This window comes from Homo sapiens, chromosome 11, assembly GCF_000001405.40.
Source record: "Homo sapiens chromosome 11, GRCh38.p14 Primary Assembly".
Classification (NCBI taxonomy): Eukaryota; Metazoa; Chordata; class Mammalia; order Primates; family Hominidae; genus Homo; species Homo sapiens.
This window is the reverse complement of record NC_000011.10, coordinates 107247716-107261657: the sequence shown is the minus strand read 5'-3', so window position 1 is coordinate 107261657 and position 13942 is coordinate 107247716. Positions and strand designations below refer to the sequence as shown.

At 43.0% G+C, this 13942-nt stretch overlaps 2 long non-coding RNA genes across 2 annotated transcripts in view; both read left to right on the top strand.

Annotated features, from left to right (window-relative positions):
- LOC105369477 (uncharacterized) overlaps positions 1-13942 on the top strand; it is a 74968-nt gene that overhangs the window by 36526 nt on the left and 24500 nt on the right. The window lies entirely within an intron of this gene.
- LOC124902745 (uncharacterized) lies at positions 7942-10935 on the top strand. The gene is made up of 2 exons (XR_007062875.1): positions 7942-8772; positions 9671-10935. It is a non-coding gene; the product is annotated as an uncharacterized LOC124902745 (long non-coding RNA).

The window sequence follows — 13942 nt, the reverse complement described above, 5'->3', positions numbered from 1 at the left end:
CTCACACTTCCTTCTGTCTCTCGCCAAAAGATACACAGACTTTTTTTTGTGGCATCAAATACATTAGGAAAGTGCATCCCAGTAATGGCCACGTGGTCACACTGGATCATGCCCATGGACCACTGTGGCAGAGGGTCCCTTGTGGGCTGATGCTCTGCACTCAGGACTGGGAATCTTTGTGAGGATGGGGCACAGGCGCCTGTGGTCCAGCTGTGCCCTTGGAGGTTTCCCTGCCTCCCTGGGTGCTGCAAGGAGTGGAGTATGTGCTGGCCGCCCCACCACTCAATTGAGAATTACTCCTCTCCTGGCTGCTTCTTCCCTCTTGCTCTACATCTTCCCCTATAATCTCCTCAATGGGGAATTTTTAGGCAAAAACAAACATAAATTCATATCTCAATAAATTATTCTGCCTTAAGTAGTAAGTAGACTTCACACTAAGTACCAGGAAGGAAACAGACATGGAGCTGGCCATAAGTATAATAATGGGACCTATTAAATAATTTAGCTGTGGGGTGGGGACGGGACATCAGAAAATGCTTCTCTGAGGACATTACATTAAAGCTGAGACCTGAGCAATCGGGAGAACAGAGTATCCCAGGCAGATGGACCATATTAGTTTCCTTGACTGCCATAACAAATTGCCATAAAATTGTTAGCTTAAAATGACAGAAACTTATTCTCTCATGGTTCTGGCAGCCAGAAGTCTGGAATGAAGGTGTTGGCAGGGCTGCACTTTCTCCAGAGTCACCAGGGCAGAATCTTCCTTTTTCTCTTCTAACTTATGGTGGCTCCACACATTCCTCAGCCTGTGGTTGCATGACTCCAATCTCTACCTCTATTTTCACGTCACCATCTCCTCTTCTTGCTTTTCTTGTCTCTTATAAAGATGTCTGTCACTGGATTTAGGGCCCACCTAGGTAATCCAGAATGATCTCTTCTCAAGATCCTTAACTTAATGACATCTGCAAAAACCCTTTTTCAAATCAGGTCACATTCACAGGTTCTGGGGGCTTGGTATGGATGTATCTTGTTTTGGGCCATCATTTAATCCACTATAGGGACTAACAATGCAAAGTCCCTGAAACCATCTTTCCTGGACTCTCAGAGTAGTCCACCCCTAGATTACTCCTTTACCATGCCATATAGCATTTGGATTATTTTATTTTGTGTTTGAGATGTTTTGCATCTCCAGAGCATACATTGATTAGAGGCAAGAACTTTATATCTACTATGTTTGCATCCTACCCCACCTCTAGTGTCCAGCACAATATGGGCACTCGAGACACTTGAACTCACTTGTAGATTTAGAGCCATGTTTGTTTCCACTATTTGGGGGACAAAGCAAGGACATGACAAGTTTTGAAATGAAAATGAATAGTAGCATCCTAAATGAATGAGATTGCTCATCTGTGGAAATCTATTCAGGAAGAAATGATTCGGATGAGTGTTCCTGATAAGATGAGGGAGCTTCTCAGCTCCCAGCCAGGGACCCACGATGCTCCCTGCAAGAAGGAAGGCATCAATTTAGAGTGTAGCTAATGAAAGGCTGTCATCTTAGAAATGGTGACATTTCTGTCTCAAAGGTATGTTGTAATGACAGAAGTCTTTGGTGACTTTAAGGAACATTGAGACAGCAAGTGTTTGGTAAGAATTCGTCATTGCCAATCTGTCACTGTCAGAGGCACAGAGACACTGTGTCTGGAGGATGTGAGCTTTCTAGTCACGTTTAAAGCGGCGCTGCCTAGTGAAGTAGGGATAAGACCAGCAGCATCTCCCAGATTCCTGTTTGAATTGCATGCTTGCCATGAATCTTCTGGTGACAAGTCGGTTTCCCAGGCAATTTGACAGCTGGGGGTGAGGTGACAGGAGTGGAGCCAGGGAGCTATACCCTGCACAGTGGACAAGAGTCTGCCAGTCACCATTAAGGTCTGCTTTCTGTCCAAATGAAATTGGCTCTCATGGGTGTCTTGTGATTTTAGGGAGCAGGAATCAGTTCCCAGAATGTGGCTGATCCTAAGGAGAGCAAATACAGTTATCTGAATTTGCCATACCTGGAGCTAGATCCTGCTCTTTTGGTTGTCTGCCTGTGAGGGGGCCCAGCCTCAGGCATCCCACTTCTCTCCTACCCCTGAAGTTTGCTCTTTAGGAGAGTGTCTGGGGAGCAAAGGAAGGGAGGAAATATCAGCCGATGAATAGGCCCAGCCTTGAAAATTGACTTAGCTGCTGAGGAATAGATGAGTTGAATGGGGTGAAAAGACAGAGAAGTGTATTGGGGAAGGTGGACATAATGTTTTCAGTGAAATCATGCTTGGAGCTAAGGCTTCTGCTACTGCTTGAATGATAGTACATTCTTCTTTTAAAGGCATGGAGATCACCTTCAAATAAATCAGACTAGAGACAATAATGCAACACAGACGCCAGACTCACAAATAAGCCTCTACGGCAGCACAATCCCAGGGATCTCTTAAATTTTCTTTAAGAAGCTGAGATGTCTTGGTTCCATTGGGCCCTAGTAACAATGAAGAAAATGCTGTTGAATTTATGGTTACATTTCATCTACTTAAAAAGCCTGGAGAGGAATTTTTTTTTAAATAAATAAAAGAAAACATACTTGGTTCTAACAGAGGCACTCTGCTTTTAAGCAGATGCACATTCAATTGCAGACTTTTTCTCCCCCAATTAGTGTCCAAATGAGTCACTCACAATTTCCATTTGCATGGTTCATTTTGTTTCCCAATGAAGTAAATGATTATTTCTTGGTTCAAAGGAAGTCTTTTCAAGGACACCAAACACTGATAGCATTCTAATCCTTTAAAAATTAAAAATTTCTGCTTACAGTAATAAAATCAACATTTTGGACTGAGATTCCAGAGTGTTTGCTTTTTTACCCCCATCAGCCCTGGTGTATACACAGGTCACTCAAGGGCCTAATCTACCTCAGGCATGCTCAGAAAAACTGATGGGGGCAACCATGAGTTTCCCCTCTTTGGTTATATATGACCAGAGAACAGTCAACCCACAGTCTGTGAAATGGTTTGGTGTGATGAGCTTTGTTCAAAGAAGGAGTTGGGTTGGGTAGATTCCCACTCTGTGGAACTCGAATGGAAAATGGGGGGATAATCAGGCAGCCTGTAGTGGAGTATGAAGCTGATGAGTAATATAATAGAAAGAGCTCGATCTGAGGGTCATGATGGGCCATGGGTAAGTAAGCCAACATTGGAAGTAAGTGTGAAATAAAAATAAAATTCCAAGCCCCCAACTGATGGATGGACCCTCTCCTGGCCAAGGAGAACCCAGAGTAACTTTGAAAACTGAGTCCTTGGCCGGGACAACATGGGAAGTCAGACGTGCCTGTTATGCCCCTTCCCTTACTAACTGCCATTGGGCTTTCTTCCCTAAGGGCTAAACAGAAACCAGCCCTTCCTAAAGACTCCATCACTAGTATCAATCAGCTGCCTGTCTGCTCCCCGTCCCCTTTGTGGTTTTCACAAAACAACCAACCAGCATTTCTTCCTGGTAAGAGACCACCGACCATGGTGTGGTTCTGGCCAGTCTACAGAGAATGTGCAGTAAAGGTTTTTGTGTCCTCTGCTTTTGATGTCGGCGGCTGAACACACCACCCTCGAGTCATGCTGATGCCCCATTATTTGTACATGGGACCCATGAAGGGGGCGTGAAGCTCAATTGCACATACAGGATTCTCCTTTCATAAATATTCATGACTCCTCCTGTAGCTTATTGAATATGCATATTCGGCCACCCTCCTCAGCATAAATTCCTGTTCCCTTTGCCCCTCCCTCAGAGTATCTGTTTCTGGCTTCTGGCCAGAGACTATGCTTCCCAGTCTATCAGAATGGCTGCACTGCAGGCTGCAGTCCTTTATGAGAAATAAAATTCTCCTTTCTAAACTTAAACGAACTTCTCCGTTCTATAGTTGACATGGTTGGCTATGAAGGTGGGATCCATGGAGAACCCCAGTTTCCCCCAGCATGATCCGAAGTCAGCAGACCCACGTCTGCTGCTCAGTTGTCTCCCTCACTGTTCTGGGAGGAAGCTGGCTCATTTTCCTCAGGTCCAAGATCTCCTGCTTTTAGGTTGAAGATTTCACAGACTTTATTTCTCTCTACCCCTTCCCTTTCTTTCTTTCCAGTCCCGACTCAATCTGTCCTGCTTCCCACCATCCATATCCCAGAGGGAACGTCTTTGTTGACTCCAGTTTTGGGAGGGGGCCTTTGTAGCCTTCTTGGTTCCCACCATCTGGACCCTTGAGGAGCTCTCCCCTGTCAGCCCCAGGTTTAGGGGTGCTTCCCAGTCCAGTTGGTCACAGCTGGTCTGTAAGGCTAAGGGCACTCTAAGGGACTCCTAGTTAAAGTGAGTGCAGTTGTAGAGAACTTTAGGTCTAAGGGATAGAGAACCCTTAGTTCTGAAGGGACAGTCTCTTCTCAGCCACCATAAAAGATCCCATTGGCTTACATACTTAAGAACCATGGGAGATTATTATTATTATTATTTCCAAGATAGAGTCGCACAGGCTGGAGTGCAGTGGTGCTATCTGTGCTCACTGCATCCTCTGCCTCCCGGGTTCAAGAGATTCTCCTGCCTCAGCCTCCCGAGTAGCTGGGATTACAGGCCACACCCGGTTAATTTTTGTATTTTTAGTAGAGATGGAGTTTCACTATGTTGGCCAGGCTGGTTTTGAATTCCTGACCTCATGACCCACCCACCTTGCCCCGCCTCGGCCTCCCAAAGTGATGGGATTACAAGCGCGAGCCACCGCACCCAGCCATTTTTTTTTAAAGGACACGTAATAGTCTCATGGTTAACCTTAAAAATTCTCTTGAGTAAATTAAAGATCAAAAATCTGACCTAAAGCAAAGTTAAAATCCTTTGTAAGCTCAAACTGATTACTTAAGCTGCCCTGAGGGAATAACAATAAAAGCCACTCTGCCTTGTGGTCTAATAGTTAAATTTCTGTGATTTCACTGCCATGGCCTGCATTTGATTCCCAGTCAGGAAATCCTTTTGGTTTGATATTTGTGTGACTTTTTGCCATTTATTGATCCTTTTCCCTTTTGAGGACAGCTTTTCATTTTCTGTCTTCCCTCTGTGGAGGCCTGCAGGGCTTTTGGGTCTTTGTATGTAGATGGTCAGCTGTGAAGCTGAGACCCTAGAGAATATGGCCCAGCAGAAATGTGGGTTGTACTCCTTTTGCTGCAGGTGAGACTTTCCTTTCATTGAGCTGTCTTTTGGGATGGATCAAAATCTTGTGCGACTGCTTTGAAACCTCTTTGGCGATGCCCCATGGGTCCTTGGTTAAGCCTTATTGATTTCACTTGGGAGGTTACCTTTGGTAAAGAAATTCAAAAGCTAGATTCAAAAGGTTTGGTAAAATCTGGTAAGATTTGAGAAGATTTTGTTTTCTTTTAAAGAGCTCTATGGTTAGAAGTCAGCTTAATTAAAAGCCGATATCAAAGGTATAATTATAATTTTCTAAAAGGGATTTATGCTTTTTCTCTTTTTGGATCCTTTTTTGAAAGACTTTTTTTCTTCTCTTTGATTGAATTCTGTTTCTTCATTTACTTCTGTCTGTCCCTTGTTTCTCTTGCCACCTTCAGTACCCCCATGAGGACCTAAAATAAATTCTAACAGCTTGGGATCCCTTAAGGAAAACCAAAAATGCACCACAGACTCCTTTTTGGGAGGTAACTCTGTTTTTTCTTATGGAGCCCCAAGAGTTGTAAGCAGACAGATTACTCCCGGGTTTAAGACTCTGCTCTCCAGGCCGGGCACAGTGGCTCATGCCTGTAATTCCAGCACTTTGGGGGGCTGAGGTGGGTGGATCACAAGGTCAAGAGTTCGAGACCAGCCTGGCCAATATGGTGAAACCCCCATCTCTACTAAACATACAAAAATTAGCTGGGCATGGTGGCGGGCACCTGTAGTCCCAGCTATTCGGGAGGCTGAGGCAGGAGAATTGCTTGGACCCGGGAGGCAGAGGTTGCAGTGAGCCGAGATCGTGCCACTGCACTCCAGCCTGGGCGACAGAGCGAGACTCTGTCTCAAAAAAAAAAAATAAAATAAAAAGTCTCTGCTCTCTTTTGCATTGCATTACCTAATGTCTGGCTTTTGGTGATACCAGAGATTACTTTGTACTGTCAGAAAACTTGACCTTGGTGTGTGTGATGACTGCCAGTTACGGGTGAGAGCTACAGTGTTAGAGGTGGCTGATGGTATGAAATGAGACCACCACTTCTCCTGTTGTCCTTCCCAGCTTCTCCCCGACCTCCTCTTTTCCCTAGTTTATAAGACAGGAGAGAAGGGGGAAAGCAAAAAGTTGGAAAGAAACAGAAGTCAGATAAATAGCTAGACGACTTGGCGCCACCACCTGGCCCTGGCGGTTAAAATAATAATAATAATATTAACCCCTGACCAAAACTACTTGTGTTATCTGTAAATTCCAGACACCGTATGAGAAAACACTGTAAAACTTTTTGTTCTGTTAGCTGATGCACGTAGCCCCCAGTCACGTTCCTCACACTTACTTGATTTATCACGACCCTTTCACGTGGACCCCTTAGAGTTGTAAGCCCTTAAAAGGGCTAGGAATTTGTTTTTCAGGGAGCTCGGCTCTTAAGACGCGAGTCTGCCAATGCTCCCAGCCGAATAAAAACCTCTTCCTTCTTTAATCTGGTGTCTGAGGAGTTTTGTCTGTGGCTCGTCCTGCTACAATGGCAGTAGTGTTATCTAAAAACAAACCTTGCCTTTGTCCAGATCTAAGTCTGTGACTTTGAGATGTACATTTTCTACCTTGTTTCACCTGAGTCATGTCTTTGGAGATGCAAATTTAGAGCTGACTAGCTAACAATTGTTTAGGGCATGAAACAGGTACACAAGAGATTGATAGTCCAAAGTAGGGGAGAGACTTTGAAAACTGGCAAATGAAGAATCTTATAAGTCTTTAAGATCTGCCTCTGTCTGTGTCTTTCCTATACCAAAATATATGAAAGAGCTGTTACAAAGAGCTGATTCTGATATGAATATCTGAAAAATAGAAGCTAGCTGAAATACCTTTTAGTTCACAAGACTTTGGTAATCTTTGGTAAATAAAACTAGTTTCAAAATTATCTTCATGGCCAGGCACAGTGACTCACACCTGTAATCCCAGCACTTTGGGAGGCCGAGGTGGGCAGATTGCTTGAGTCCAGGACATGGCAAAACCCTATCTCTACTAAAAATACAAAAAAATTAGCCGGGTGTGGTGGCACATGCTTTGGAAGGCTGAGGTGGGAGAATCACCTGAGTTGGGGAAGTCAAGGCTGCAGTGAGCCATGATCATGCCACTACACTCCAGCCTAGGTGACAGGAGTTAAACCCTGTCTCAAAACAAACAACACAAACAACCAAAATTCTCTTCACTAATTTGAAAGCTTACAGTTAGGTTAAATTAAGTAATCCTGGCTTTTTTCACTGGAAACTAGGGTTATGAAGAGTTAGAATGGTAGTTAACATATATAATTAAAACTACTAGTGTAGCAGGATGAGCCGCAGACAAGAACCCCTCAGATACCACCGAGTTGTGGAAGGAAAGGGCTTTATTCAGCTGGGAGTATCGCTGGACTCACGTCTCCAAAAACGGAGCTCCCCAAGTGAGCAATTCCTGTCCATTTTAAGGGCTCACAACTCTAAGGGAGTCTGTGTGAGAGGGTTGTGATCGATTGAGCAAGCAGTGGGTACATGACTGGGGGCTGCATGCACCAGTAATCAGAACGGAACAGAACAGGACAGGGATTTTCACAATGCTTTTCCATACAATGTCTGAAATCTATAGATAACACAAACAGTTAGGTCAGGGGTTGATTTTTAACTACCAGGCCCAGGGCACGGCGCCGGGCTGTCTGCCTGTGGATTCCATTTCTGCCTTTTAGTTTTTACTTCTTTCTTTGGAGGCAGAAATTGGGCATAAGACAATATGAGGGGTGGTCTCCTCCCTTACTAGACATAAGAGAAGCAATTCTACATACAGAGTATATAAAGAAGGTAAGATGTGTTTTTTGGTGAAGTTTATAAAAAAAATGAGGATGTGATTTTTGCTAAAGGAAAAAGTAATTTCATTTGGTTAGAGGCTATTTAAAGTTTGCTTCAGAACAAAGGACAAAATGATATAGCTCAAACTAAATGGAGAAAAAAAAGGATGGGGAATGAGGAAGCTTTGATTCCTGCGTGGCCGCTGGCTCACCTACGGTATGAAGCAGCAGCTGTGCTGCATTCAGTTACTAAAGGTAAAATTTACCAGTGGAATTTAGAGATGGATGCAACTCTGGGGGAGTTGGTTCACTGGATGCATAAGGAAATGCAAACTAATAAGGAAAAAGCAAAATATTCATTCCTTTGGTTATTGTTATCCATCATAGTGATATAGGACTTAAGAAGAAATCACTTAGGCAGATAATGAGTGCTAGAGTCCTTGGTAAGGTTTTCCCTTTTAATGACAAGCAGTCCCCAAATCATTTTCTAACAAGAGCAGCCTGTAAAGTCAGGCTGCAGATATAGATGCTGGTAGTTTGTGCCAATCGTGTTCAAAATAGTGGCTCCATCTTCCCTTCTCTCTTTGTCAGCCACACGTGCAGTAAGCAGCAGACAAGATGGTGCCCGGACAAGTGGAAAGCTCATTTGCATAATACAATTATGAAAGTAACTCTGAGACTTGTGGTTACCAAGAAGATAGTCAATGTGGGGAGAACGGCAAAGCTAAGTGACTATTCAAATCAGAAGGTATCATGTGAAGGAATTGCTCCATTTTGTAGATCAGTATTATCAGCTTCCTGAGGAACCTTTACTAAAATGGGATTTTAAGAGTAACCAAGTTAGGGACAATATCAGTATCTTTGGTTTTAAATGCTGCAGAATAGAAGAGCATGTTTGGGTTGATGTAGGACCCACAGCTCACTATTGTACAATTGCAGATGGATATATATGATCCTGACAAACAGGAGATTATTCTCGAGGGAACGGCCAGCCTGGGGTACTGGATAAAAGCTACTGTAAGATCTGTTTACTCCAAGAAAGGGACTGCCCAACTCCTTATAAATGCCTAGTGGAGTGCCCCCAGGTAAAGCAACTGATACGCTTTGTATGCAAGCCATATGGAGCTAGATTTATGATGTCAGGGACAGTCATGCGCTGAATGTGCCCATCACCCAGGTCATGGTAAATGCTGTGGTTAAGGGGGCCCCTTCTGCATGGGCACTCCATAGGATGATGTTGTTAGGTTCGAGGATCCTTATCAAGTCTGCTGTTCCAGCTTTCCCTCATGTTACAGATGCTAATAAAACATTAGATTAATTAATAAGAAAATGGGAAAAGCAAATGAGAGAGTCAAAGGACTCATCTCAGGAAAGTGGAAAATTTTAAAGGGTAATTAAGAAATAAAATGAATACAGAAAACATTGATGGGGTGAAACTAAGGGGAAAAAAGAAAGGGGAGAGTCCCATGACCCAGCAGGGTGAAAATCTTTAGATGGTTATTAAGAGATGAAATAAATAAAATGGAAATTGGTGGGGTTAAAACAAAGATCTTAACACAACACTATGGAAGGTTGGGTGGACCAAAGGGAGACGCTGATCTCCCAACATTAAAGGGCTCCAAATCATTTTTCTGTATTTACCCTAGGCTGGAGATATTTCTGAAGAAAAGTCAGAAAGCGAAGAGTGCAACGAAAATTGCCTGGGGCAGTGTTGAGGATTGACAGAAGGGTTCCTGATCCTTTGGCTGAGAAGCCAAATCCTTTTTCACCAGAGAAAGTAAAATGGTCTGAGGGGTGGGAAACAAAGAAGCTCCTGAGACCAGAACATAAAAATGTAAGGTTGATACGATTTTGAAAGCTGGAATGTTTAAATAGGCTTTGTGTAAAGTGGTTGTGACTCCTTTTAACCTAAAAGTTTTATGAAAATGAATATTGTATCCAGCTGGGGGATGTTTCTCCTACCTACTACTATAAAACAGAAGGCATGTAAATCCACCCATCAAGCAATATTAATTGGACTTTCTAAATGAGAACCCATAACATTGCCCGAGCCTAGAACGTAGAGTAGAAACTGGAGTGCTGGTAGTGCCTGGGCTACATTCAACATCGCAAAGGACCCAGTTCTCCAGTTGAGAGCCCTTTGTGGAGCATTTACTGTGGCTTGTGGCCAAAGCTTGTGAGCACCTGTCAACTATGACTGCTGAAACTTCGGACTAAAGAATTTCCACTTCAGGGCCATTTAATGACCAGTTATGAGATGTTAACTGAAGCCACCCATATGTAAAGAATATAAAATGATCTTGACACCTGAAATACCCATGCTGTCTGGGATGATGCCAGAGAAGCACCCTAATGGGGATAGCAGTGCCCAGAAGTGCCCAGAGTTCCGTAATCCAATTGGAATGACTTATCATGCTACCTGATGAATGCAAGGAGGAGATACTCATATACAGGGAGCCCTTATTCCCATAGAGTTGACTCTGGACCTGTGCAAGGAGTTGCTGGATTCTGCAGTGCCTGATAAACAGCTCTCACCTGACTGACAATGAGCTGCTTGATTTGAGGATGGCAGTTTCAAGGTGAACAGACAACATCCTGATTGGAAGGCTGCTACTCTAATTGTAAAAAGTATACTTTTGTCAGCAGAATTTACCTTTCTGTCTACCTCAGTTCTCCAAAATTTGGAAACTTTTCATGAGTATTCTTATTTTATGGCAACATGGTTATTTGCATAAGTTTGTAAGAATCTGTTTTCTTTTGAAACAGGACACAGTTGGAGACGTTGGTTATTTTACCAAGGCCTGAAGTGTCTGTTTCTAGCATCTGACCAGAGGCTGTGTTTCCCAGTCTGTCAGAATGGCCATGCTGCAGGCTGCAGCCCTTTACGAGAAATAAAGCTCTCCTTTCCAAATGTATGAACCTCCTCATTCTTAGTAAAAATTATCATACAGAAAAAAATCTTTATAGAGATAGAAACAAGAAAGCCAGTTGGAAGTGGGAAAAACACGTGAAGAACAGTTATATTAGGGATGGGACATTAATATGAAGATTCACGAAGATCAGAGGAGCCTGCATGGCCTTTGATTTTAGATTTTCTTCCATTTCTAGCTCTATGAGGCCCTGTGACTCCGCTATGGAACTTCTTTTTCCTGAGGCCTAATCACTTTCCTTGATCACCTCGCTAGATTCCCATTTCCCTAGTTTCATGTTAAAGAGCTTTGCATTTAAGATCACCATTTTGGCTCTAATATTTTGTTGTTGTTGTTGATTTTGAATTACAAATGGAATTTATTGGCTCTAGTACCCAGTGAATCCATAGATGGGGCAGACTTCCGGGGGTTTCGAATGACAGCAGGCCTGCTAATCTGGGAGCTCCACCTCTCTGCCAATCCCTCACCTGGGCCTGCCTCTGCAGGCTGCCTTCATCCTCAGGCAGTCTTTCTTTCTGATGGCAAAATGGCTACCAGGAAGTTCCTGGAGCTGCATGCTTTTTTTGGCCAATAGAGGGGATTCTCTTTCCTCTAACTGCTGAAATAAATTCCTAGGCATCCCTCTGATTTGACCAATTTGGGTCACGTGCCAACTGGGGTCATGAACCAATAACAGACTGGGGAAGGGCCACTCTCCCCTTTATTTCAGGGGAAATGGAACAACTGCTAAGGAAGAACCTGCAACATCACTTCACTCTCATTCATCACAGACTTTGACATGCTTAAAACCACCAATGGCTTCCCAGGCCAATGTGAATAAAATAAAATGTTTTTAATCTTGGCATAGGAAATTCTGCATGATCTGGCCCATGCCTCTTTTTCCAGATAGGTCTTGAATCTCTCTGCCTCCTTCTTCTGCTTCATCTACACTGAGTTTTTAATTCCTCAACAGGTCTGAATTATTTTCCACCTCAAGTGCATCAAACGTGCTGCTGGAAGAGGTTCTACTTGGAACTTCCTTAACGTGCTTTTCACCTAGCTACTACTGAAATAAACTTATAACTTAAAATGAAGACAAGGGTCTTCAAACAAATGTACATGGACCTATGAAAGAAGATAAAGCAAGGGGTTGGGGGAGACCTCATTTAAACTAGAGAGGAGGCTGGGAAGAAAGTTCAGGAAAGACCTTCCTAAGCTGATAAATGAAGGATAAATAGCTGTCATTTATTTAATATCTGTTTTTCCCACTAGACTGAGAGCCCTGTGAGGGCAAGGACTATCCCTTGTTTTGTTTACCTCATTATCCATAATGCACAGAACCGTGCTGGCCCACAGAAAGTGCTCAATATATATTTGTGGATTGACTAAATGAATATTCTGAACACCCCACGAGGTCATTTATTGTCTCCACATACCAAAGAGAAAATCAAGACTGAAAATGGGGAAGTCACTGACCGATGTCATCAGGACTTGCCCTCTAGGAGGTGGCCCAGCCAGGATTAGAACTCACTTGCAATTCTGAGATCTTATCTACTTCCTATGGAGCCTCCTAAAGAGAAGTTATAGGTAATTTGTGCTTTGGGTCCAAGAGGCTAAGAAGTGTACCTCTAACTCCAGCTAAACGGGACATTCTCCCAAACACGTCCTGAACTTTGCAACCCTGCCCCTGTGCTCCTTCTTTTTGTTTTACTTGGAAAGCTTTCCCTGTCTTTGTATACCTGTCCAAGTCTTACTCACTGTTCAGAGGTCACCTCAAATATATCTTTTAAACTCTGTATATTTGTTATGATGCCACCATCTATCTTGTGTTAGAGTGATTTATGTATATCTCTTCCTCCAGTCCATTAATTCCATCCTTGAAAGATGGGATCATATCCTAACTGTATTTGTAAACCCTAAGCTCTTAGCACAATGTCTTGTTTATAGTTGGTGCTCTTTATTTTTTATTTTTAGAGATGGGAGTTCTTACTATGTTGCTTAGGCTGCTCTTGAACTCCTGGCCTTGAGCAATCCTCCTGCCTCAGCTTCCCAAGTAGCTGGGATTACACCTCTGTAACCATGGACCCTGACTATTGGTGGTCATTAAAATTGTCAATTTTGATTCTGAAGCCTTACATTGTGCTATCTTCCACAAGTGTGTTTCTCACGCAATATTCAGTATGTTTGACAGTGCCTCTTTTACTCACTGATGAATGTGGACCAGAAAAAATCCTCTTGGTTTCCAGGCTTGTCTCTGCTGCTGACCAGGCAAGTCATTTATTTGTTTTTTTTTTTTTAAGCTGGAAAATGTAAGATATTATATATAATACAAATTAATTTTTGTGTATAGATAAATATAAATTTATTTGTATATGTGATATATAAAAGTAAGCTATTATGAAGTCTGACAATTGCCTCTTGAGAGTCTTGCAGGTGTTGACTGATCAAATATGTTAACCAACTTCATGCTGCGATTGGCTTCTTCACATTGCTTTTGTTGCTTCAGCTCTTCATGTGTAAATGGATGCATGGTGAATGGTTTGTCAAATAGATATGTATAAGAGAAAGAAACAGAGGAAAACATACTCTGTTCCAACAGTGCCTATAATAACCTTGTACCAAGCTTTTTCATGATCTAGCTCTTCCACACTTGGTCACTAGGCTATAAACTAAGAAGCTAGACTAGATTGGGCTTGACTTCGCAGTCTTGGCTCGTGACTGAAAGCCCAATACAAACACACCACATCATCGATATCATCAGGAATGCCCTGGCCACTGTGTGAATTCCTGGTGACGTAATGCTCAGGATGCAGGCTTGGTGGTCTGCCATGGTGGGCTGTATTCTCTGTGGCTTGCTTTGCTCTATGAAACTCTGTGCTTTGAGGATGGCCAGACTGCATCCAGAAAGAGCCTTCTCTTTTCCTTTCAGAAAGCAGTCTCCTTGAATCGACCCTGTGTGATACCTGGCTGGAAAATATCTTGACTCTGCTCATACCATCACACTAGAAA